A 27,048-nucleotide genomic window follows, 5' to 3' on the forward strand; every position below is an offset into this window, starting at 1 on the left:
ATATGTATTATATCAGAAGAATATATAAATCCCAAATAATAGCCCAACCTGGGTTACTCAGCCATGCAGTGTTAGTACCTCCATTCTCTGACTTTCTAAAATGTACCTTCAGGTAGTTAGTTATCTTTTCCATGACCCTCTGTTTCTTTTTTTTTTTTTTTGTGAGATGGGGTCTTGCTCTGTTGCCTAGGCTGGAGTGCAGTGGCACAATCTCTGCTCACTGTGATCTCTGCCTCCCTGGTTCAAGTGATTCTCCTGCCTCAGCCTCCCAAGTAGCTGGGATTACAGGCATGCACCATCATTCCTAGCTAATTTTTGTATTTTTAGTAGAGATGGGGTTTCACCATGTTGGCCGGGCTGGTCTCAACCTCCTAACTTCAGATGATCCACCCACCTTGCCCTCCGAAAGTACAGGCATGAACCACCATGCCCAGCCTACCATGGCCCTCTTTTATCAGGTGGCTCGATTCTGCTTTGCCAACGAAGGCTACCTAGACATGTGGTATGTAGATGTAATATATAGACATTTACACCAAAGGAGAAAGGATTTGAGGAATCTGGGAGTCAGGCTGCGTCAAGATATGCAGGTGCCATGGCTGGAGTGGGGAGGCTGCTCAGAGCCCAACCGTGCTTCTGTTTAGAAACACACTGGAAAGGTACCCAGCTGGACAGAAGTTCTTTTATGGACTCAAGCCTATTTCAAGTTCTGGGCTTTTGATGAAGATGATTCTCTTACCACTCCTTTGGAGAAAACTGCCTGTGAGCATCCCTAGGCAGATGTCAGGTTATAAATAGAGGATTCTTCCCAGGATGAAAAGCAAGGTAAAGAGACGGAATTCACCTATATAGAGAATCTGCCTCCTCTCTTAGAGAAAACAAATGATTGGTGTTTTGTTACTGCACTTCTTGGCCAGCTAAGAAGTGGGAACTCAGGGTAGTGAGGGTGCTGGGATCCTCTGTGGCTGGGACCCTGGTGATGAGCCCCACCCCACCCTTGGAGGCTGCTTCAATAGGTCGACTGACTGGTGAGGGCCTGAGTTCAGGTAATAAGGAGGAGAGGGCAGTACAGAGGGAGATTTTGGAAGCAGCAGCAGAGAATTAATGCACATAAAAATTCTAGGTTGGGAGGCCGAGGCGGATGGATCACCTGAGGTCAGGAATTCCAGACCAGCCTGACCAACATGGTGAAACACGGTCTCTACTAAAAATACAAAAATTAGCTGGGTATGGTGGTGGGTGCCTATAATCCCAGCTGCTCAGGAGGCTGAGGCAGGAGAATCTCTTGAACTTGGGAGGTGGAGGTCGCAGTGAGCCGAGATCATGCCATTACACTCCAGCCTGGGTGCCAGAGCGAGAATCCGTCTCAAAAAAAAAAAAAAAAAAAAATTAAAAAATTCCAGGAAGAAGACAGAAGACTTCAAGATGTGTAGCCTATGTGACTGAGTGGATGACGATGCCACAGACTTGATGGGACCATGGAAGGTCAAGGGAGGAGAGAGAAGATAATAAATTTGGCTTTGGACCTGCTGAGTTTGAAGTACTCAGGTGGGGCTCTGCAGGAAACAAGTGGAATGTGACACTTCCAGAAAGATCTGCTTCCATAGGAGCTGGAGAAGGAGCACATTCTGCCAGATGGCGTGTATAAAGACATAGTGGAGAATGGCTGTCCCTAAATGCGGATTTGGAAATTCTTCTCTCTAAGGAGTGTTCTTTGAGGTTCTTGCTTTGGCCGACCATCAATGGTGATGGTGGAAGCGTCTATTATGGCTACGGATCAGAAGTGGATGTTACATCTGGGTCTTCAGTCATCCCATTCCCCAATTCTCTCTATTGCTAGCACCTATTTAACCTCTGCAATGCTAGGTTACCTGCTTTTATGCATAGAAGACAGGCTTGCAGTGATTTGGAAAGATCTGTGTATCTTAGAGACTGACACTTCCACCACCAACGTCAAGGTGCCCCAAGCTCTCCTGCAAGGACGTCCACAAATAATTCAGACACTTGGAAAAAACACCTACTAGGCAGCCAAGCCCAGGATTTTCTCCTCTTGGCTAATGTTGGTGAACATCACCAGGGAGGTGGGGAGAGCCTGATATATGGTAAATGCACTCATCCACCTGCGATGACAGGTTAATGACCTGCTTCCATGCAACTGGAGTCCTGCCTGATACCACCTGCCCCTCCCAGAGGAATTGTTACTATTTGCTTTATATGGTTGCTTTGCCATAAATCTGAGAAACTGTATACACCATTAAAGAGAATATGGCATTGAAATCATCCCCATCAGTAATGGAAATAGCTAAGATGAGCTTGGATATGTTCACAGCTGTTAAACAAATCAAAAACGCATTAAGCGCAAGTTGAAATTTACTCTGCCAGCTGAGGAAAAGTCATACACTCGAGCCTGTTAAGTGGACCCTTTAACTCTTGTTTGAAGCCCTTCTAATGCCTTGTGTGGCTTAAGGATGCCTATGTCTGGAACTGCATTCCTGATCATGCTCTTTAGGAATGACAGAATTGCATATCATTTGTATCTCGCTCCTGAATTTCTGTTAGTATATTTCAAAGAACAGAGTTGTATGGCATGGGTGTAAGTGTTAGTGTCCATGTAAAGACTGAGGCATCAGCACTTAATGCTTCTGTAATTGTGTTGCAATCAAGGTTCTGGACAGAAAGAACCTGGTGCCTCCATAGACTGGGTGTTTCGGAGCTGCTGGACTGGGGGCTCAGATTCTGACTTTGCCACCAATTCAGACTTTGCCCCTGAACCCCTGACCTGCCCAGCCTCTGGCTTCTCACAACCTTTTGCAAACGGAAGTGGTAAGTCCTGTTGTCTTCATAAGACAGCTGCAAATATTAACTATTTAAATCACTATAGCCCACAAATCGTTCCCTTTGCAAGCACAAAACAAAATTTCTTAGACTAGATTTCTGAACAGAAAAATGCCTATTGTTTCTGAAATGTTATTAAGCTGTATCCTCCCTTGGCAGGAAATGCAGATGGGCCTGTGGTTTGCTGCTGGGTTTCGACCACTCCTATTTGGGATAAACTACCCAGGTTTCACGAGATTCAAGTGGCATCCCCTCTAAAAGGAAAGAATACAAAGGCTTTTGTTATGTAGTTTCAAATTGCCCCCAGAAAAGAATCCCACGGCCTGTGCTATAAGATACTCATTGTTTGAGATATGTGACCCTCCCCAAAAGTGCAGAAAAAAGTTTTTCTCATCATTCCACACAAGCATCCTAGTGCAAATGCATAATACACACATCCTTGCACACTCACAGGCACACCCTGCACCCTCGCACCCCGCCTTTCCATCTATGAGGCATGCAGCTCTACTACAACCTTTATCCCTGGCAATGAACCAAGACAAACTTGAGCTCTCTTTCCTTGGAATCACTCTGCCCTCCCAGACTTCCCTGATAAAGAACACAAAGAAGCAAAAGTATAGACACCAGGTGTACATACCTGACACAAAAGTATAAAACCACGGGTCCTGACTTTTTAGGGAAGTCATGTTCCAATACTCTTCGATCTAGCTGAAGCCAGTTTAAGTGTCCCCTGAAGAAAATAGAGACAAATTGGTTAGGGGTTTGCATTTTGCAGAAGTTTTTTTGGGGTTGAAGGTATATATGAAGCAGAACGTGCTGGATCGTAGATAAATTTGAACCTTCACCTTATTTTTAATTTTTTTTTAGTTTTTATTTTTTTGAGACTAAGTCTTGCTCTGTGACCCAGGCTGGAGTGCAGTGGCATGATCTTGGCTCACTGCATCCTCTGCCTCCTGGGTTTAAGCGATTCCCTGCCTCAGCCTCCTGAGTAGCTGGGACTACAAGCATGAGCCACCATGCCCGGCTAATTTTTGTATTTTTGGTAGAGACGGGGTTTCACCATGTTGGTCAGGCTGGTCTCAAACTCCTGACCTCAGGTGATCCGCCCACCTCGGCCTCCCAAAGTGCTGGGATTACAGGCGTGAGCCACTGTGCCCGGCCACCTTCACCTTATTACTAGCTTTTCAGTATTGAAGAACCCAGTGGGATTAGGTAGGGGATACCGAGTCAGCAGTGGATACTGTGTGGTGTGAGGGGAAGAATAGGAACTGGAAAGTGAAGGGATTGAGACCTGCTGTTTCCCAGGGAAACACTGAAACGAAAATGTAATCAGAACTCTCCTTCTTGTCCTGAACCGCCTTTCCACCACACTCCCAGGTGCCTTTTTTCCTGAAGGACTGAAAGCACACTTGAAAACATGTTAGCAATCCTCACGACATCTTGCTGGAGTGAAAAGCAAATCACACACAGTGTCTGAAAACGTTAAACTTACCGCCAGGGGCAGTGGCTCATGCCTTTAATCCCAGCACTTTGGAAGGCTGAGGCAAGAGATCCTCAGAGGGGAACCACTTTCCAGGCAGAAAGACCAGCCCGTGCAAAGGCCCCGGGGTGAGGGAGGACCCCAGCGTCTTAGTGTCCTGTGAGTGGAAAGCCATGAGGCTAGGGAGAGCCCTGGGGGCCATGTCTCGGAGGCTGGTCTTGGAAGAGTGGGGCAAAGCCATGGAACAACCAAGCTGAAGAATCCTCTCTTTCCTTTCCCTCCTCTCTGTATCCAATGTCAGCCCATCATCCTGGAGAAGACAGTCCTATAATCACTTTATGGAGTAAAGTCACATGGAACAGACCCAACTGACCCCACTGCATTTCCCCCGTAGCTAATGCTGTGTGGCATGTGTGCAAGACTGTGGATAATGAGAAACAAAATCTGTCTGCATCATTGTCTAAAAACGCTTGTTCCTCTCAGCACATGCTTAAACCTCCAACAAAGGAAAGAGAGAAAACACACAAGTGACTTCCAACCCCTTTTTGAGGCTTCACTCAAACTGCACCTTTCGCACAAGAAAAAAAAAAAAAAATCCCCCTCCACAAAGCCCATACCTGTGGCTATACGGAAGACTTTTGGATCTGCCTTAGAATAGTGACCACCTGAAGAACTTTGGCCTGTTTTTCCTCTTTCTAAGAATCTCCAGTTGGATAAAAAAATTCCATTAACTTTATCTTTTTATTACCTTGCTCTGAATATAGGAAAAGTAAAAAAAAAATAATGAAAGGGTTGGGCGCAGTGGCTCACGCCTGTAATCCCAGCACTTTGGGAGGCGAAGGCGAGCGGATCACTTGAGGTCTGGAGTTTGGTATCAGCCTGGCCAACATGGTGAAACCCTGTCTCTACTAAAAATACAAAAAATTAGCTGGACCTGGTGGCAGGTGCCTATAATCCCAGCTACTCGGGAGGCTGAGGTAGGAGAATCGCTTGAACCCGGGAGATGGAGGTTGCAGTGAGCTGAGATCGCGCCATTGCACTCTAGCCTAGGCGACAGAGACTCTGTCTCAAGAAAAAATAAATAAATAGGACGGGCGTGGTGGCTCACGCCTGTACGCCTGTAATCCCCACACTTTGGGAGGCCAAGGCAGACAGATCACGAGGTCAGGAGATGGAGACCATCCTGGCTAACACGGTGAAACCCTGTCTCTACTAAAAAATACGAAAAATTAGCCGGGCATAGTGGCAGGCGCCTGTAGTCCCAGCTACTCAGGAGGCTGAAGCAGGAGAATGGCATGAACCTGGGAGGTGGAGCTTGCAGTGAGCCGAGATGGCGCCACCGCACTCCAGCCTGGGTGACAGAGCGAGACTCCGTCTCATAAATAAATAAATAAATGGAAGAGAGTATTGTAAGTAAAATAACAGGAGCAACTTCTTCCAGAAAGCTGGGATAAATTCTGTTCTGACTAGAACACAAGATCAGGAAACAGAAGGCCTGGGTGCCAATGTCATCTCTGCCCATGCCTGATAATGCCCCACAGGTTCCATGATATTTCAAACTTCTGTTCCTTAGCTCATGCTGTTCCTTCGTCCCAGTAGGCCTTTCCCTTCCTTCTTCCCCAGTGAGGTCCGGCCCATCCCGCAGGACTCAGCTCTCACGTCTCCGCTCCAGAAAGTCTTCCCACACCACACACCGGGTGGGATGGGGGGGTCCTCCTCCGACCCTTACAGCACCCACCCTAGGGGCTCACCCATTTCTGCACTTCCCAGTCTACAGAACTTGCTCTCTATGCATTCATTTTCCCCAGCTGACTTTTTAAAATTTATTTTTATTTTTTAGATGGAGTCTTGCTCTGTTGCCCAGGCTGGAGTGCAGTGGTGTGATCTAGTCTCATTGCAACCTCCGCCCTCCGGGTTCAAGTAATTCTCCTGCCTCAGCCTCCTGAGTAGCTGGGACTACAGGCGCAGGCCGCCATGCCCAGCTATTTTTTTGTATTTTAGTAGAGACAGGGTTTCACCGTGTTGCCCAGGCTGGTCACAAACTCCTGAACTCAGGCAATCCACCTGCCTCGGCCTCCCAAAGTCCTGGGATGACAGAGGTGAATGACTGTGCCCAGCACCAGTTGACTTTCTATATCTGGAAAATGCCACGAGATCTACCTCATGAGGAGAAAGTGTGCATGTCTGGTCAACTGGAAGGTGTCAGACAAATTATCTTAAGCTGCAACCACTTCCTTCCTGCCTCTGAAAATGCCCCCAACTCTGTGGGTCTTCTCTTGGGGCTCAGCCTCCTGCGAGTACACCATGTGTATGGCATGCGCCTGGCCTTCACTCATGCTGCCTCTCCTCCTTGGAACTGGAGAACTGTCTCTCCATCCCTTTATCTGAATGTTTAGCCATTGTGCAAGGCTGAGTTCAAGTCTTACTTTCAGTGAAGTCTTCCTTGATTGCCTAAGTCTGGGGTTTCTTTCAAACTTCTCCAGGGCTTCTGGTGTGTGTCATCTTCAAGGCATTTGGCATAATCTTGTACAATTAGTTATTTTTAAAAAATATGACCTAGGCTGGGTGAGGTAGCTCACACCTGAAATCCCAGCACTTTGGGAGGCTGAGGCAGGCGGATCACGAGGTCAGGAGTTCGAGACCAGCCTGACCAACATGGTGAAACCCCATCTCTACTAAAAAAAAATACAAAAATTAGCCAGGCGTGGTGGCACATGCCTGTAATCCCAGCTACTCAGGAGGCTGAGGCAGAAGAATTGCTTGAATCCAGGAGGCAGAGGTTGCAGTGAGCTGAGATGGCACTACTGCACTCCAGCCTGGGTGACAGAGCGAGACTCCATCTCAAAAAACAAAACAAACAAACAAAAAACATGACCTATCTCTCAACGATCAGTTTTCAACATTTACAGAAATTATCCCCCAAAACCTAGCACAGTGTATAGCAACTGTTAGGTGCTCAAAAGAAGTATTTGCTCATTGATTTGAATGACTGCCTGCAAGAGCAAGCCATCCAATGACAATGTAGGCTTAAATATTCATCTTTTGTCTTACCATATTTTATGATAAACAGTCTGATGGGAATAACCTTTTCATTATTCTCACAAGACAAGGCTTTCAATCACCCACAGACTGGAATGATACAAAAATACAGTGATTTTTCTCTGGCCACCAGCTCAAAGAATAAGGAGGACCTGAGAGAGAGAGAGAGAATATTCCATTTGTGGAATATTCAAGATTAGTCAATGGTCCAGGCTTGAGATATCCTCATACCACTCCACTGGCATATGAGTGACCACACACACTGCAAGAGATTAGACTTAGGTCCCTGGGGGTCACCATTCACATGTGATGAACTTCAAGGTGGGGACATGTCGCATGAAGGGACACAGACAGATGTCATTTGGATTCCAGTCTGTTGGGTTTACGCACTGCCAATTCTTCTTCATCCACAGAGGACAAACAGACAGATGGATTCCCCCTCTAGAAAACTTTATTCCCCACATTAAACTGTCTAAAAGAATGACTTTTTAAGCCATGAATCTGACTGGCAATTCCTTTGTTCCCGGCCATCTATTGGTTTAACATTTATCAAGCAATTAAATAGACTAGAAAGGAAAGTAAGAAAATGGGCCAGGTACAGTGGCTCATGCCTGTAATCCCAGCACTTTGGGAGGCCATGGCAGGTGGATCACGAGGTCAGGAGATCGAGACCATCCTGGCCAACATGCTGAAACCCCGTCTCTACCAAAAATACAAAAACTAGCCAGGTGTGGTGGCACGTGCCTGTAGTCCCAGCTTCTTGGGAGGCTGAGGCAGGAGAATCGCTTGAACCTGGAAGGCAGAGGTTGCAGTGAGCCGAGATTGCACCGCTGCACTTCAGCCTGACAACAGAGTGGGGCCCTGTCTCACTGACAACAGAGTGGGGCCCTGTCTCAAAAAAAAAATGGTCAGGAAGCAAAGAGAACATGGAAGCTGGAATGACACCTATATGATCCTACATGGAATAGTTGGCCTCTGAGGACAAATGAATTTCCTTCCTCCACTTCCCCTGCTTGAACTCGTCCACTCCAATCCCATGAGGGGATCACGATGCATGGCCTTGCGTAGCTCCAGTGGCTAATGGAGAGGCAGACTTTCCCAAACCTGGAGTCCTCGGATTCTCTGAAGGAAGGAGGTCAGCTGCCTCCACTTTAAAGGCTTGTAGAAGTCTCTCAATGAAGGCTGCTTATAAAGGCAGACTGAAGGGACATGTGACTTATCCAAGACCCTGATGAAAACTGCCCACTATTTGGGCAAAAACTGAAAGATGGATTAAAAAGCAAACTGGAAACCATAATTCTGGGGCCACCACTTTTGGCTGGAGCACTTGTTACAATGTTGTTTTCTGCTCATCTCTAAGTCACACTTCCTGTACTCTACAGGGTCAAGAATTCCACACTGCTAAAGGCTTTTGCTTTCCTATTTAACCTTTTACAGTCCTGACATCAAGTGCCTCCCTCAAACCTTTTATGTTTCTTTTGCATTAGGATGGAATGGGACGAAAAGTCATAAAGAAGCATTTCCTTAATACAGTTTAACTAAGAGATGCCTTATAGCTTGGTTTTCATGATTCTCATTGATTTTTCATTTGAGAATGCACTTCATTGCCTTTGCCAATAATAATGCAAAAAAAAAAAAAAAAAAAGCATCCCAGCAGCCACTCAGAGTATTTTTGTTATTATGTGACTGATAACTATCTTTAAAGCTGAGCAAGATAACGCTCATTTGGTTTATGGTTGCAGTAGGTCAAACTGTCAGGTCAGTAATAAATATGCAATTGCTTCCAGGCAATAGAAATTGGACGCATTCATTTAAGATATTGCTTTTAGCTTCTACATATAAAACAAATAGATTTTTGGTTCAAGTGTTGGCACCTTCAATAGAGATGGCCTCAGGGAGAGCTTTGTTTATAGTTACTGGTGGGTGGAGGTGTGTGATAAGTCTATCTGAATCCGTCACTTTCCAGACCCAGGGGGAGAATGACACTGCACAGCTTCTAGATGTTTTTATTGTAGACAGGCAATTTCATATGGAATGAGTTTCTACAGAAATCCAAAGCAAGAGATGAAGTTCTTATATGTTTATCTATTTAGAGACAGGGTCTCACTCTGTTGCCCAGGCTGGAGTGCAGTGGTGCAATCATAGCTCACTGCAGCCTTGAACTGCTGGGCTCAAGCGATCCTTCTGCCTCAGCCTCTGGAATAGCTGGAACTACTGGCACATACCATTGCACTTGGGTAATTAAAAAAAAAGGTTTTTTTTGTTTTTGTTTTTTTGGTAGAGACAGTGTCTCGCTTTGTTGTCCGGGCTGGTCTCAAACTCCTGGCTTCAAGCAATCCTCCTACTTCAGCCTTCCAAAGTGCTGGGATTACAGGTGTTAGTCACCACACGTGGCCAAGTGTATGAAATGCTTATAGATGTTGCTGGATGGAGGGGAGGAGAGGAGCTCTTCAAATGGAAGAATGTTGATATATTTAGTATCCTTGTCTTATAGTATGTGTGTTCATCAAGGACAGACCAGGCACTTTGGGAGGTCAAGGTGCGCTGATTACCTGAAGCCAGGAGTTCGAGACCAGCCTGGCTAACATGGTGAAACCCCGTCTCTACTAAAAATACAAAAAATTAGCTGGGTGTGGTGGCGGATGCCTGTAATCTCAGCTACTTAGGAGGCTGAGGCATGAGAATCACTTGAACCTGGGAGACAGAGTTTGCAGTGAGCCGAGATGGCACCACTGCACCCCAGCCTGGGTGACACAACAAGATTCCATCTCAAAAAAAAAAAAAAAAGGGACAGACCAGTGATACTGATTTCACTATAAACCTTTAATAATACAGGAAGGTTAAAGTAGGGTATATACTGGGGAAACCAGATTACTAAATCATGGGCTCTCCAGCCCAGGATAAATTGTTGTCTCCACTATGTTTTAGTAAGCCTATTCCAAATTTTCTTTTTAAAAATGTTTTATTTTTTAGAGACAGAGTCTCTTTCTGTTGCCCAGGCTGGAGTGCAATGGTGCAGTCATAGCTCGCTGCAGCCTTGAACCCCTGGGCTCAAGTGATCTTCCCATCTCAGACTCCTGAATAGCTGGGACTACAGGTGCACACCACCACTCCTGGCTAATTAAACAAATTTTTTTTTTTGTAAAGTAGAGGTTTTGCTGTGATGCCCAGGTTGGCCTCAAACTTCTGGCCTCAAGCAATCTTCCCACCTCAGCCTCCCAAAGCACTGGGATGGCAGGCATGAGCTACCATACCCAGCCCCCAATTTTCTTTTCTAGCGCTTCTACACCACGTTTTGTGAATCACTTCCTAATCTACAAACACAAGCTCAACAAGGAGTCAAGGGCCAGTGCTTTCTGGATCTCCAGTGGTTAAGAGCAGATGCTAAATAAATATTTGTTAAGAGAATGAATACAGCAGCTTCACAATATGCCCCACAGATCCATATTCTTGTAGGTTCAGGGACTGCTGTGTAGACACAGCTCCCATCCTAAGCAAACAGTCTCCATATTAAGAATTCACTCCGCTCACCTGTGCCAGGTTCCCAGCTCCCTCCGGTCATTTGCATTGGGAAGGAAAGGAGGGAGAAAGCCGCATCCCTAAGCTTTCCTTGGAGGGCACCGTTCTTTTTGTTTATCTTAGCTGCACACAGAAAGAGCTATGCTCAAGCACTTCTCTGGTCACTAAATATAAGGTACTGTTGTATGTTTGCCGTTGTTTCCGACAACACAGCATGGGTCGTCTGAGAGGTGGTAATGAACACCGAATGCCGCGTTCCCAGAAGCAGTTATTACAAGCCAGGCACGGAGGCTGCAGCCACTGACTTTCTCCTCTCTCACTGTCCAGCAGATAATACGTGGAAATCCCAAACCTATTTCCAAATAAATTGCTTTCCCAGAGCTGTGTCTTGTGGTTGTTTCTTCTGCCACTGGAAAATTGCTTTTCTATTTTGTTTATTTTTAAATTGTAGATAAGCTTGTGGCCAGGAATGCTGAATGACTGAACCCTTTTCAGAGGCCCCAGCTGATGCCAGTCACAGTTGAAACAAACGCGAGGACCTGAGGACAGCACAGACCCAAGCTCGCTCCCGTGCACCAGCCTTCCTGGCAGTGGTTCTAAAGATGCATCTTCAATGAGTCAGGACTTTTTCTTTCTTTCTTTCTTTCTTTATTTCTTTTTTTTGTTGAGACGGAGTCTCGCTCTGTCGCCAGGCTGGAGTTCAGTGGCATGATCTTGGCTCACTGCAATCTCCCGCCTCCCGGGTTCAAGCAATTCTCCTGCCTCAGCCTCCCAACTAGTTGGGATTACAGGTGGCTGCCACCACACCCAGCTAATTCTTTTTTTTTTTTTTTTTGTATTTTTAGTAGAGATGGGGTTTCACCATGTTGGCCAGGATGGTCTTGATCTCTTGACCTTGTGATCTGCCTACCTCGGCCTCCCAAAGTGTTAGGATTACAGGTGTGAACCACCGTGCTCAGCCAGGCCATTTTAACCTTAATAGTTTGGGTAAATCAGACTCCCCAGACAGCACCAATCAGGCAATTCAATTAATTAGGATACAGTCTGCTGAAAGAAAAGATCCTTAATTGTTTACTGTCTAGGTTCTTAAACTAACATCCTGGCCGCAGGGTGTCTGTGAGTGTTGTAAAATGTAAGCAAAAATTTATTTTGTATGTAAACTTTTATGAAGGAAAGGGAATATAACTTCAAATCTCAAAGGCGGTGTGATGAAATCAGAGGTTAAAAGCTACTCGTTTTCTTTTCTTTCTTTTTTTTTTCTTTAAGAGATGGGGTCTTGCTCTGTTGCCCAGGCAGGAGAGCAGTGGCGCAATCATAGCTTGCTGCAGCCTTCAATACTTGGGCTCAAGCAAGTCTCCCGCCTCAGCCTCCCAACGTGTTGGGATTACAGGTGTGAGTCTCAAGCCCAGCCCATATTATTAATTGGTATGTGAAAATAAATTCTAACTATACTTGTCTTTTAAATTTGGAGTAATGGCTAACCAAGTTTCTTTTCTTTCTTCCTCATATTTCTAAACACTTTTAAAAGGCTTTTTTTTTCTTAAAAAAAAACCCCCAAAAAATCAATCACAAAAGATACTTATTTACAGCATTTAACAAGCAATTCTTAAAATTTATGACAGGAGATTCAAATTAAAATTTAAATAGATTATGACAATCATTAATTCAACTTGGGTGTGTTTGACTGTTTCTGCTGAATAGCTTAAAAGTTGGTTAGTTATAGGCTATAGCTTCTGATAACGGGATCTTCCATTCCCACCCCACCCCCTGGCTCACAAGCTACTTCTTGATTTTAATTAGTTTTGTTGTTGAGACGAGGTCTCACTCTGTCACCAGGGCTGGAGTGCAGTGGTGCAATAATAGCTCACTGCAGTCTTGAACTCCTGGGCTCAAGTGATCCTCCTGCCTCAGCCTCCTCAGTAGTTGGGACTACAACTGTGCACCACCATGCCTGGCTAATTTTTAATTTTTTTTTTTTTTGAGACAGATTCTAACTCTGTCACCCAGGCTGGAGTGCGTGGCGTGATCTTGGCTCACTGCAACCTCCACCTCCTGGGTTCAAGCAATGCTCGTGTGTCAGCCTCCTAAGTAGCTGGAATTACAAGCATGTACTACCACACCCATTTAATTTCTGTATTTTTAGTGGAGACGGGGTTTTGCCATGTTGCCAGGGTGATCTCGAACTCCTGACCTCAAGTTATCTGCCCACCTCAGCCTCCCAAAGTGTTGGTATTACAGGTGTGAGCCACAATTTTTTTTTTTTTGTTTTGTGGTAGAGATGGGGGTCTTGCTATTGCCCAGGCTCGTCTTGAACTCCTCCTGGCTTCAAGGGATCCTCCCACTTTGGACTCCCAAATTGCTGAAATTATAGGCATGAGCCACTGCACTCAGCCCACAATTAAGAAAAAAATGAAATTTGAGTCTTAAAACAGCAATAGAAATATTTCAAAAAAAAATGTAAAAATGAGTTTCTCTAAGGGATGGATGCCAGTGTTTGATAAATGAAAATCTCAGTTACCCTATTTGTACACCTGGAAACATTAAACCTGAACTTCCAAGCTTGTTCTCCTACTGTTAGGAATGGAAGCTAGAAGGGAGATGGTCTGTAACTTTACAGGCCCCTGGGATGAGTCGTTGCTAGACCCCAACATTCAACGCTGAAGTAGAATCAGCTTTTCTTCTTTGCTCTGGAGGGAGAGAGCACAGGAAATACTGCAACATGCCCGCTGTCTAGAACAGGGGTTTTCAAATTTGCCTGCAAGCTAGAATCAGCTGAGAAGCTGAGGTCACACCCAAGCTGATTCAATTGGAATTTCTGGGGGTAGGTCCCAGGCATTGGTATTTTATAAAGTGTCCCAGGTAATTCCAAAGTGTAACTAAGGTTGAGATCCCTAACTCTAGCAAAATATAAATACTTTTTTTATTTTTTGAGATGGAGTCTCGCTCTGTTGCCCAGGCTGGAGTGCAGTGGCATGACCTCGGCTCACTGCAATCTCTGCCTCCTGGGTTCAGGTGATTCTCCTGCCACAGCCTCCCAAGTAGCTGGGATTACAGGCATGTGACACCATACCCGGATGATTTTTTGTATTTTTAGTAGAGGTGGGGTTTCACCGTGTTAGCCAGGATGGTCTCGATCTCCTGACCTCATGATCCGCCCACCTCGGCCTCCCAAAGTGCTGGGATTACAGGTGTGAGCCACCGCGCCTGGCCAATAATTATTTTAACATTGGATTTATAACTGGCTCTTGGTTAGTTTCAGGATGTATTAAAGGGTGCCAAAATGTCTTTGTTTGCATGTATCACCACGATTCAGATAATTTATATAGATGACCACCTGTATCTCTTTTTCTGAGGACAGAGTTAGTAAAAATAAAAGGAGGCCAGATGCAAACGAATCTTGTACAGAAGAGAGCACTCGTAAAAAATTGGGGAAATCTGAATCAAGTCTGTAGTTTAGTTAGTAATATAATGCCAATGTTCATTTCTTAGTTTTGATGAAAGTCACGTCGTTTGCAAGATGTTGACATTTGTTGAAGTTGGGTGAAGGGTATAAAGGAACTCTAATATGTTTGCAATTCTTCTTTAAGTCTATTTCAAAACTAAAGTTAAAAGATTAAAAAAAGAAAGCAGACTTAGCATTAATGCTGCAAAACTGTTGATTGCTAACAATATTAAACATTCTTGGGCATAAGTTCTTACACTGTGACTTAGATGCTTTATTAATGAATACAACTTATGGAGTGAGAGAAGCTTAGAGAAATTTCCAATTTCCTGTCTACATTCTGCTTTATATATATTTTCTCCAGTTTCATCTAGATCCCACAAAATGTCAACAGCAGTTAATTCTGAAAGAGTCTCTGACAATATATGACCTAGAGTCACACGTTCTATTATTTAGAAATTCTTTTTTTTTTTTTTTGGAGACAGTGTTTTACTCTGTTGCTCAGGGTGGAGTGCAGTGGCACACTCTCGGCTCACTGCAAACTCTGCCTCCCGGGTTCAAGCGATTCTTCTGCCTCAGCCTCCCAAACAGCTAGGATTATGGGCACATGCCACCATGCCTGACTGATTTTTGTATTTTTAGTAGAGACGGGGTTTCACCATGTTGGCCAGGCTGGTCTCGAACTCCTGACCTCAAGTGATCTGTCCACCTCAGCCTCCCAAAGTGCTGGGATTACAGGTGTGAGCCACCATGCTCAGCCTACTATTAGAAATTCTACTCTCAGGAACAATCATGCTGCTGGTAAGAGTATCTTGCACTTGTACGGCACTTCACAGTTTATAAGTGCTTTCCACGTGATAGCCTTGTTTTATTTGCATTAGGAAATAGACAAATACATGTGATACACCACAGGCTGTCATAAAGAATGGAACTACGATTGCATTTTACTGTAAAACACACAGTGTAGCACCTGTATAAAGCACAGACACACACATGCTCACAATACACATGCAGAATTAGAAAACACGGTTATAAAACAATTTTGCTGTAGTGTCCCGTGATACAGAGCAAGGCCAGGGGATGTAGTACTGTAAGGCTAGCGCTTACTACCTAGGAATCACCAAGCCAGAGCAGGTGAACACCCAAGGGCACTATTTTGCAGGGGCAGCTTTTGTTCTTCTTTCCTACCAGGAAAAGGAGAAAAGTTCAGATGAACAAAGAGGCACTCCCAATGTCTGTTGGCCCTGGCATTGTACCGCCAGGACTGACAGCCCTTGAGTCACGGCCTCACCACTGCCCAGCCTTGCAGGAGCCAGCTCTTCACCTCCTCTGGGCTCCTGACACCTGCCCTTTCCCCTGGTGCACCAGGCACATCTGCTAGTTCTTTTTCAGAAATCTTTTGCCAGCTCCAGTGGTTTTCTAGTGACCTCCAGCTGGCTGGCCGCCACTCCTTCTGTGGCTGGAGAGACCCTCCCACCTAGACTCTGGGGCAGGTGATGGAAATGGCTGCACTTTCTCTGGATCATGCCAGAAGGATGGCTCACTCCTCTTCATCACTGCCCCCCACAGAGCCTCCACATAGCCAGCTCCACTACTAGAGGGGGCAAGACACTTTTATCCAGCCTGGCTTCTACGCACGCACACACGCACGCACACACGCATGCACGCACATGCTTTCCTGGTCAGCACAGAGAGCCAGGAGAACTCAGACATGGAGTGTACCAGCTTAGCTGGATGGGGAAGCTGAACTTGGGTGTGTGCACCCCCTGCTGTGACGTGTGGTTTTGGTGCTCTCAACCCTCCTGGGAGAAGAGTGACTTTCTACCTAGGTCCGATTCCTGCCAGTCAGTGCTGTTAGGGCAGTGATCTGAAATGTTCTGCAGACTCACATCATCTTCCCCTTCAGCCCAGGATCACACGTTCGTTTTTCAATTCTTGTTTATTCAAAAGGGAAGCCTAATCAGGCCTCCTCTAGAGTTCACGGGATCTTTTAGTAAACTTACGTGGGAAATGTGAACAATGGGGCTATGATTAATTGAAACTTAGGGTTTCCTTCTGATTAGTGAAAATAGTCTCAACAGCAATTTAAGTGGTTTACAGTGATTCTCAGGAGAAAGGGGAGAGAATAATCTACATTTGTAAAAGTAATTGTTCTACATGTGCATTTGTTTAAAAGCTTTTAAAAAAATTGCAGTGCTGGGTCCTTCCCCGCACAGCCCTGAACCTTTCCCAGCTGGGCTTACTTGGCCCTGCCTGCAATTCCTCCTGCCCACCGACGGCCACTCCCACCTGCATTCCAGTTCCCTGCAGGCTCCAGGACGAGGGGCCCACCTTGCTCCTCCCAGCTTTCTTGAGGAAGATGTGGCTTTGCTCCTGCTGCCTGCTCTCTGAACACACCACAGCCTGAAATGTCCCTGATTTACAGGGTGACCAGATGGTCCGGTTTGCCCAAGACAGTCCCAACGACACCCCCTTTTGTTCAGTGTCTCAATTTGGATAATAAGTCATAAGACCACCCCTTCCACTTGCATCTCACCAAGGCCAAGTGTAGCCATGTGCAGGGACACCTGGTTGCCTCTCTCACTGGCCCATGTGGATGCCCACCTGTTCTTGCTTCAGTGGCACCACCTGATTCCCAGGGCCTCGGCTCCCCTGTACTGTCTTGCCTGGCCACTAACCTAACACTGATCTATTAGTAGTTTAGGAAATCATCTCTGTATTTCTGAAGATCTGGAAGACAGAGAGAGAGAGAGAGAGTCTGTGTGTGTGTTTGTGACTGTACGTGTGTGCACAGAGGAAAGAGAATTATGAACTATTTTCTTAGAATAGCTCATTTTTATCTAGAAATCTATACAGGTATTCAGTATACTCTTTTGATAACAGTACCTTAAAAAGAAAATGGAAATTTTAGTAAAGATTTTCCTTACTTGTATTACACAACACCACTTTATAGAGCCAAACTGAAAAGACCCTTGAAAGCAAATATTCTTCTCATCAGATCAGTGATCTGAATTTTTTATTTTCATAGTCGCTTTATTTCAGTTTAGACACTGAAACTGCACAGGTTATTTTCATTTTGAATTTATCATCAAATTCACTTCCTGTTATTGTTATCCCAACAGTAGAGAGAAATGTTTCATTTCCAGAAGTTTTCATTTAACTTAAATAGAAAACAAACTCACATAGATCCACTTAAAAAAAAATAAACATTTCAGTCTGAACACAAACCTGCTTGATTATTAGAACTAGTTTACCTAATAATTTTATAATATTAGTATCACCCTAATTATATCCTTTGGCTGTACCAGGCATGACCACAAGGCCTTTGAAATTCAGATGATGAACTTGGACTGACCCCAGACCATGGGACCCAAGTGGTCTGCAGCTGATTTCGCTGCTAACAGCTGGAGTGGAGCAGTTTCGGGTTCTGCACTGACTCTCCCTTCGGGCTGTGAGGGCTCAAGGCAGTACTTACGTTTCATCTGTGAATGCTATTCCAAAGTACTCCTTTTCCTTCAGATTGAAGTGAGAAGCCACAAGGTCAAGAAGCTCCTTGGCCAACAGCTTGGGCTGCAAGAAGAATACAATGGAAGAAGGGTAAGTGATGAGAGACTGCTTTTCCTAAAATATGCAATCTCAGGTTTCCATAATTTTTTCAATGAAATGTCACAAAGCTCAAGTATTTTGAAGCAAATGATTTTTATAAACCCAAACAAATAGACAATGACACTGATGAGCACACAGCCAAGTCAAGGGTCATCAACAGATAGAGACCTTCTGTTTTGTTTCCTAGAAGGGTTTTTTTTTTTTTAATTGAGATGGAGTCTCGCTCTGTCATCCAGGCTGGAGTGCAGTGGCATGATCTTCGCTCACTGCAACCTCTGCCTCCCGGGTTCAAGCGATTCTCATGCCTCAGCCTCTGGGATTATAGGCATATGCCACCACGCATGGCTTTTTTTTTTTTTTTTGGTTTTAGGAAAGATGGGGTTTCACCATGTTGGCCAGGCTGGTCTCTAACTCCTGGCTTCAAGTGATCCACCTGCCTCAGCCTCCCAAAGTGCTGTGATTACAGACGTGCGCCATCACACCTGGCTAATTTTTGTATTTTTAGTAATCCCAGCTACTTGGGAGGCTGAGGAAGGAGAATCGCTTGAAACTGCAAGGCAGAGGTTGCAGTGAGCCAAGATCACGCCACTGCACTCCAGCCTGGGTGACAGAGTGAGACTCTGCCTCAAAAAAAAAAAAAAAGATATCTGCCAGTCTAAAGAAGCACACCAGAGCGTTAGGCATAAAGTCATGGTAGATGTTTGTATTGTTAACATGTTATTCACCTTGGTCTGTTACTACTGAAGTGACCACAGAACACCAGGCACTGAAGTGGGGGAGGGAGGAAAGGCTGTCTGATGCGGAAACAGGGCCGGAAGAGAAGAGTTATTTCTAAACTAGCTTCCAGGTCATGCATTTGAAAATACATTGCCTCTATGAAAATTACTCCATTCCAAGCACACTCACCAGATATTAGGAAAGTTATTTCATTATCTGTTGGTTTTTTTTTTTTTTTTTGAGATGGAGTCTCGCTCTGTCACCAGGCTGGTGTGCAGTAGTGCGATCTTGGCTCATTGCAACCTCTGCCTCCTGGGTTCAAGTGATTCTCTTGCCTCAGCCTCCCGAGTAGCTGGGACTACAGGTGCGTGCCACCATGCCCAACGAATTTTTGTATTTTTAGTAGAGACAGGGTTTCACCATGTTGTCCAGGATGGTCTCGATCTCTTGACCTCGTGATCTGCCTGCCTCGGCCTCCCAGTGTTGGGATTACAGGCATGAGCCACTGCACCTGGCCGACAGTTGGTTTCTTATTTCACTTTTTGGGTACTGCCATGGACTGAATTATATCTCCCCAAAATGCATGCGTTAAAGCTCTGACATCCAGTGGTATTTGGAAATGGGACCTTTGGGAGACAATTAGGTTTAAATGAGTTTATGAGGGTGGGGCCCCCAAGATGGGATTCGTGTCCTTATAAGAAGAGACACCAGAGAGCCTGCTTCCTCTCTCTGCCATGTGGGGCCAAAATGCAAAGGTGGCCCTCACCAGGAGCTAACCATGCTGGCACCCTGATATTGAAATGACTGTTTAATACAACAGACATTTATTTATTGAATGCCTACTATGTACAGGGCACTGCCCACATGCTGTAGGAGACAGAAAAATAAGCAAGGTGCAGCACAGGCCCATAGGGACCTTAGACTTTTAACAGGGACACGGAGTAAGAGCTAGCGCTGAGTTTAAAAAGCCAAAGAAGATGCTCCACCCTTTTCTGTCTCACTCCTGGGCTCCTGGGTGGCAGCCTCAGGGCCTAGATGACCATCAATTCACTGATGAAAACCACTTAAACTGAAAGAATGGGTTTGAAGCTTCCTCCCCAGCAGACAGGAATGGACAGGAGAACCCAACGTGATAAATCAATACCACCTCATAGTCTATACTTCCATTCATACTGAATTTTGAAAAAGTGAAAAAGCAATCTCTATAACCAACAGGGAATTCAAGGTGATACGTCAGACCCTCCCTCACTCCTGGTGGAACGTCTACTCTGCGAGAATGCAGTGGAGTAAACGTGGCACATCTCAGAAGGTCGCTGATGAATTACGAAGTAGAATGCAAGATGGGTGCTCTTGAAGCTTCCGGTAAATGCTGTGTTTGCCATGGGCTGTGGCCAGCACTAGCTCCACCCCCAGGAAGTATTCGGCTGCCCAATAACAAAGGCTTTGCTGGATCACTTGTGACTATGAGGTAGTGTGGCTGCTTTTTAAATTGCAAGGTAGTGGCCGGGCGCCATGGCTCACGCCTGTAATCCCAACACTTTGGGAGGCCGAGGTGGGCAGATTGCGTGAGGTCAGGAGTTTGAGACCAGCCTGGCCAACATGGCAAAACCTTGTCTCTACTAAAAATAAAACAATTAGCCAGGCGTGGTGGCGTGTGCTTGTAATTCCAGCTACTCGGGAGGCTGAGGCAGAGCTCTTGAACCTGGGAGGTGGAGGTTGCAGTGAGTAGAGATCACGTCACTGCACTCCAGCCTTGGCAACAGAGCGAGACTGTCTCAAAATAAAAATAAATAAGTTGCAATATACATATGCTCCTCGAATTATGATGGGGCTACATCGTGGTAAGCTCATTGGAAGTTGAAAATATTGTAAATCGAAAATACATTTAATACACCTTACCCACCAAACATCACAGCTTAGCCTAGCCTACCTTAAAGGTGCTCTAAACACTGCCACTGGCCTACAGTTGGGCAAAATCATCTAATGTCAAGCCTGTTTTATCATAGAGTGTTGAATGGCTCATGTACTTTATTGAATTCAGTACACTGTAGACTATCAGTTGTTTACTCTTGTGACTGTATGGCTGAGCAGCGCTGCCAGAGCGTATTGTACCGCGTACTGCTAGCCTGGGAAAAGATCAACATTCAAAATTGGAAGTACAGTTTCTACTAAAAGTACATTGCTTTTGCACCAGTGTAAAGTAGAAAAATCATAAGTCAGACCATCATAGGTTAGGGACAGTCTGTGATATAATTTACCTGTCCAAATGATTGCTACCGCTTTCAAAGTAGTCACTGTATTTCTCTGATGCTTGCTATTTCTTGAAACATTTTTGATAATCTTTTGGGTTTGCCCTTGAGGCTTGTGTCAGATTTGTCAACGCGTTTTCACTGGTGATAAATCTTCCTGTGCTCGAGAATGGATTTGATTTTTTTTTTCAAATGCCAAAAGTCACTTAAAGTCAAGTCTAGTGAACAGAGATAGAGGAGGAGGAATGGGTGATTATGCCTGGTCAACCCAGTTTCATAAAATGAAGTGTGACTACAAAGTAATTATTGTGGGTTCTTGGGGATTATGGTGAGAGGTCTGGTCCAAACTTGAAAACAATAAAAATAAGATTTTGTTCTTTTTGAGATTTTAACTTTAAGGCTGGGCACAGTGGCTCTTGCCTATAATCCCAGCACTTTGGGAGGCTGAGGCAGGAGGATCCTTTAAGCCCAGAGGCGATATAGCAAGACCCCATCTCTACAAAAAAAAATTTAAAAATTAGCCAGGCATGATGGCATGCACTTGGGACTAGTCCTAGCTATTCAGGAAGCTCAGACCGGAGGATTGCTTGAGTCCAGGAAATTGAGGCTGCAGTGAGCTATGATCATGCCACTGCACTCCAGCCTGGGCGATAGAGTGAGACCCTGTTTCAAAAAAAAAAAAAAAAAAAAAAAAAAAGAAAGAAAGGGAAAGAGAGAGAGAAAAAAAAGAAAGAAAGAAAGAGAGACAGAAACAGAGAGCAAGAGAAAGAAAGAGAGAGAGAAAAAAAAGAGAGCTAAACTTTAAAGCCTACATCTCAACAGATTTGATCAGAGATACATAAGTTTGCCCAGAAAGAGAAAGAATGATTCCCAGTGCTGGCATAGTTTATCTAGAACATATGTTCATCACTCCATAGAATGATTGGGCCTGAATGGAAGGGGGTAAGTGGAGGCAGGGTGGGAGGTGCAGTTGGGGAAGGGAGATGAACCCAGGAAGCAAACGTGATCTTAGCCAATAGGTGTTGAATATTTGGGTCCCTTACCGGGTGGTAAGGCCTTTTATGTGGCAGAAATGGAGGCTTGGGGTTACTTTAGCTGATCATGTTACATTGAACTCTCCTAATTCCATGCCTCCCAAGGAACACCTACATCCTGGATATGTCCCTCATATATGAACTCATTATCATCCAGAATAGAGATTATCATTCTTTTGCCAAAGAAGATTCTGAGACTGAGAGATACCAGGCAGGCTGTCCTGGGTCTCACAGCCAAGCTGGGATTCAAAACAAGGTTGAGATACACAGCATGGAATATTATTTCGCCCTAAAAAGGAATGAAATCCTGACGTGGATGGAACCTGAAGACATTATGCTAAGTGAAAGAAGCCAGACACAAAAAGACAAATATTGTATGATTGCACTTAGATGAGGTAATTAAACAGGCAAATTCATAGAGACAACAGAATAGAGGTTGTCACGGGCTGAGGTGGTGGCAGATGGGGGGTTATTGCTTAATGGTTACAGCATTTCTGTACTGGATGATGAAAAAGTGTTGGAAATATTAGTGATTGTTACATGACATTGTGTATGCATTTGATGCCACTGAATTGCACATACGAAAATGGTTAAAATGGTGTTTGATGTTACATGTATTTTGACACAATTAAAAAAAAAGGAAAAAGGGGGAAAGGAGGTCTGATAGTTTCAAAGCCCACATGTGTAATCCCTCTGCCACTCTACCTCTGTTGACCCTGCTTCCAGGGTGAGAGCCTAAGGATCGTGCCTCAAGGGCCCTGGCTGAGTGAGGGCTACATGACTCACTTGAAACCAGTGCACTGACATTATGGATTTATACATCAGTACTTTCAACCTGGTTAATGTGAGTCTTCCCCTGAGAATGAAAAATCAGGTTTCTGAGCCTGCAGAATAAAGAGATGGCTTAACACACTGAAGAATTCACCAGAGTAATGGATACCACCATGGAAGCCTTCTGGAGACTGAGTTTTTGCCTTACCATGGTGATATGTCTCTCTGATTTAGCCTGTCACACTACAATAAGAAAACAAGTTTTCTTGGTGACTCATAAACTGAAGTCAAGGAAAAGGCTCTGAGCAGTAGCTGCCTGGCTGGAACAAACTTCATCTTTTCAAATAAACTTTTTCAACAATTGTACCTATCTGGATTTATATCTTTTGTTAAAAAATTTAAAAGGTCAGTCCCATTACTTTACACAACAGTTATTATAGACCATATGTATCAATTTCCAGGAAGAAAAGCCTACATTTATTACTTGCAATTTACAAATGGAGAAGTAAAGGCCGTGAAGAGGGAGAAAATAGATCCCAGAAGATGTTGAGGTTACAACTCCTGACTCTTAGCTGCTTTTAAAGCCACACACATTTTTTCTGCTGTCATGGTGACTGGCAACAGCCCAGAAGGTGGCTGCTCTGTCAATGAGAGTGAGAGTTGATGGATGGGCATGTAGTGAGAGTGAGAAATACACATCATTGTTTCACTGTTTAAGTCACAGAGACATTGGGGGTTGTTTGTCATTGCAGCATAACCTAGCCTATCCTGATTGATTCAGGCACTGAGTCTTTTATTTTCTGTACAGTTGATTTAAAACAATTTGTGGCATCAGCTCCTTGATTTCCTGATCTTGCAAATGAAGACAATATCCCCCGCTGATGTGACAGTGATTAATATACTACATTGTTCTGAAAGTTTCTTAAACTCCTTCAGAGAAAGTTGCTGGGCAAGCAGAAAGCAATCTGCTCTTATGTGCTTTGAAGGGATGTTTACAGAATCCCGCTGAGTATAATTTGCCAATTACTGGTGCTGTAAACATTTGTGGAGCTTTGCAGGGATCGGACTGGGAGCAAGGCCAGAAAGGCAGCTAGTAGCCCAATCGCATTCTATTGGACAATCTGGGCAGGAGCCCAGAGGCCACGTGAGCAAGGCAGCCTGTGCTCCCTGGGTTTGTCAGAATTAGCCTCTTGTGGGCCATCAGCCGTCCTGGCCCTAAGAGGTCATTACATCTAAGACTGGCTTTCTCTTAGCCCATAATTAGCTTTGTTCAATCAAATAGTTTCTCTCTTTTCTTTTTGTATCTCAAAATCTTTTTCCATTGTCCCTCTTAGCTTTTATTTCTCCTGATACCTGACAAATAAAACCTCCTTGCAAACATCCCTCCTTAACATATACTTCTCAGTGGCACCACTCACAGAGCTAATAGGACAGTCTTTCCAACACCAACTGGGCTTAGAAACCTGGGCTTCAGCCATGTGCTTTAGCAAGGAAAGGAAAGCACTGGTTCTAAATACTTAGGGAAGAAAGGAGAGGAGCTCTCAGTCAGTGCTTTGTGGCTCCAGGACCCAGATCTGAGTTCTTGAGAACACTGGATGATTCCAGTGGGAACTGTTCACGTTCCCAGCATATTACAGGGTTCCAGATCAGGTCCTGACTACTTCCTGGCCTGCTTCTTCCAGGCAGGACACGACTAACTAGAATGATCAAAACAGCACTTAACGTGTTGCAGGGCTGTAAAGCGCTCTAGGCACACTGATATGGTTTGGCTGTGTCCCCATCCAAATCTCACCTTGAATTGTAATAATCCCCAGGTGTCAAGGGCGAGGCCAGGTGGAGATAACTGAATCATGGGTGTGGTTCCCCCATCTATTCTGATGGTAATGAATAAGTCTCACAAGATCTGACGGTTTTATAAACGGGAGTTCCCCTGCACAAGCTCTCTTGCCTGCCGCCATGTAAGATGTGCCTTTGCTTCTCCTTTGCCTTCCGCCGTGATTGTGAGGCCATGTGGAACTGTGAGTTCACTAAACCTCTTTCCTTTATAAATTACCCAGTCTCAGGTATGTCTTTATTAGCAGCATGAGAACAGACTAATACACACACCCACATGACAACATCCTTTCAGGTGACTTCCATGAGCCCTTCAGGTAAATTCTGGGGAAAGGAATTCAAGGATGAGGTAGCACCCAGGCACCTCACCAATTCCTCACAGAATACTATATTCCACAGTATACTATACTACATACAGTATCAAGCTCTAAATGCTAGCCTGGTATTTACCATCACTTATATATTATGCCACCAACTTAAACTTGACATGTGTCTATCCAGATAGATGATCTTAGACAAATTACGCAAGCTCTCTGGGCCTCAGTTTTCTCATCTGTACAATGATGGACTACTGTACCATAAAAAGAATTCCTATACTAAGACATTATTTATGTTATTATTATTATTGTTTTTAGATACAGGGACTTATTCTGTTGCCCAGGCTGGAGTGCAGTGGTGCCATAATATCTCACTGCAGCCTCCAATCCTGGGATCAGTGATCCTCCAGCTTCAGTCTCCTGAGTAGGGGGGGACTACAGGTATGTACCACCATGGCTGGCTAATTAAAAAAAAATTTTTTTTTGTAAAGATGGATTCTTTCTATGTTGCCCAGGCTGGTCTTGAACTCCTGGCCTCAAGTGACCCTTTTTCTTTGGCTTCCCAAAGTGCTGGGATGACAAGTGTGACCCAATGCACCCAGCCTTTATTCCTTATGTTATTATTAAATTTAGCTTCTTCCTTTCCTACAAACGATCCTGCCTTCCTAAGAGTGTTATTCACCCATTCGAAAAAACTTGAACACCATCTGCATCCTTCATGATCTCTTGAATCTAGTCAGTTAATATATCCTGTCTTTCTTATATAATTTCAGGTAAGTTACTAAACCTCTCTGTGCCTCAGTTTCCTCTCAGCTATTAAATGAGGATAATGACTATACCCAGGTCACAAGGCTGTTTTGAGAATTAAATAAATTAGTCTGATCTATATGAAGTACTTAGAATATGCCTGGCATGGAACGTTACTTGTATTCATTATTTCAGATCCTAATCATAAATTATTTAAAAAATTCCATGTATGGCCAGGCACGGTGGCTCACGCCTATAATCCCAGGACTTTGGGAAGCCGAGGTGGGCAGATCACCTGAGGCCAGGAGTTTGAGACTAGCCTGGCCAACACGGTGAAACCCTGTCTCTACTAAAAATACAAAAAAATTAGCTGGGCGTGGTGGCTCATGCCTGTAATCCCAGCTACTCGAGAGGCTGAGGCACGAGAATCGCTTGAACCTAGGAGATGGAGGTTGCAGTGAGCCGAGATCGCACCACTACCCTCCAGCCTGGGTGACAGAGTGAGACTCTGTCTCAAACAAAACAAAACAAAACAAAACAAAATCCCCACTCCATATAGTATCAAGTTCTAAATGCTAGCCTGGTATTTAAGACCACCCTATGAACCCAGCCCCAGTTTACCTATCCAACCTCACTTTTGCCCAGTTCCCTACAAAAATATCCATTTCTGTTCAATCTATTTGATTGAACTAAAGAAAACACTGATCTCATTTTTATTTCCAAATCTTTGTACATTCCATTCTCCCCCTCCCCCTTCCCATTTAAATTTTATCCTGCTCAAAGCCCACTTCCTCCATGAAGCCCTCCCTGACCATCCTGCCTACAAATGCTCTCTCCCTCCTCTGGATTTCTACAGCACTCAACACAGGCAGCTTAGTCACACTTGGCACATGTGCTCTTGTGTTGTGGTAAACTTTGTGTGACATGATTTGTTACACTCTATAGCAGGTTGAATGGTGGTCCCCAAAAACATATGTACCCATCCCAGTCACTGGAACCTGTGAGTATTACCTTTCATCACAAAAGACGTGATCCTTGGGAGGAGGAACTAATCCTGGTGGGCTCTAAGTGCCATTATATTGTCTCCTTTTTTTTTTTTTTTTTTCTGAGATGGGGTCTGGAGTGCGGGCTGGAGTACAGTGGCACGATCTCAGGCTGGAGTGCAGTGGCATGATCTCAGCTCACTGCAACCTCCACCTCCCAGGTTCAAGCAATTCTCATGCCTCAGCCACCCAAGTAGCTGGGATTATAGGCATGTGCCACCACACCCAGCTAATTTTTTTGTGTTTTTAGTAGAGATGACGTTTCAACATGTTGGCCAGGCTGGTCTCGAACTCCTGAGCGCAAGGGATCCACCTGCCTTGGCCTCCCAAGGTCCTGGGATATATTGCCTCCTTATAAGAGAGATACAGAGGGTTTTTTAAAAACAGACATACAGGAGAGAAGACAGAGGCAGAGACCT

The 27,048-nt window shown here is 44.6% G+C and overlaps 1 protein-coding gene across 3 annotated transcripts in view; it reads right to left on the minus strand.

The window, feature by feature from the left end:
• FRMD4A (FERM domain containing 4A) overlaps positions 1-27,048 on the minus strand; it is a 687,219-nt gene that overhangs the window by 149,321 nt on the left and 510,850 nt on the right. For all 3 annotated transcript variants that reach the window (NM_018027.5, NM_001318336.2, NM_001318337.2), the window contains 2 exons: positions 17,788-17,882; positions 3,470-3,562 (listed from right to left, as the gene is read on the minus strand). In NM_018027.5, the coding sequence (NP_060497.3) occupies positions 3,470-3,562; positions 17,788-17,882 (188 nt within the window). The remainder of the gene's footprint in view (positions 1-3,469; positions 3,563-17,787; positions 17,883-27,048) is intronic.

The sequence above is a fragment of the Homo sapiens genome, chromosome 10, assembly GCF_000001405.40.
Source record: "Homo sapiens chromosome 10, GRCh38.p14 Primary Assembly".
NCBI classification, from domain to species: Eukaryota; Metazoa; Chordata; class Mammalia; order Primates; family Hominidae; genus Homo; species Homo sapiens.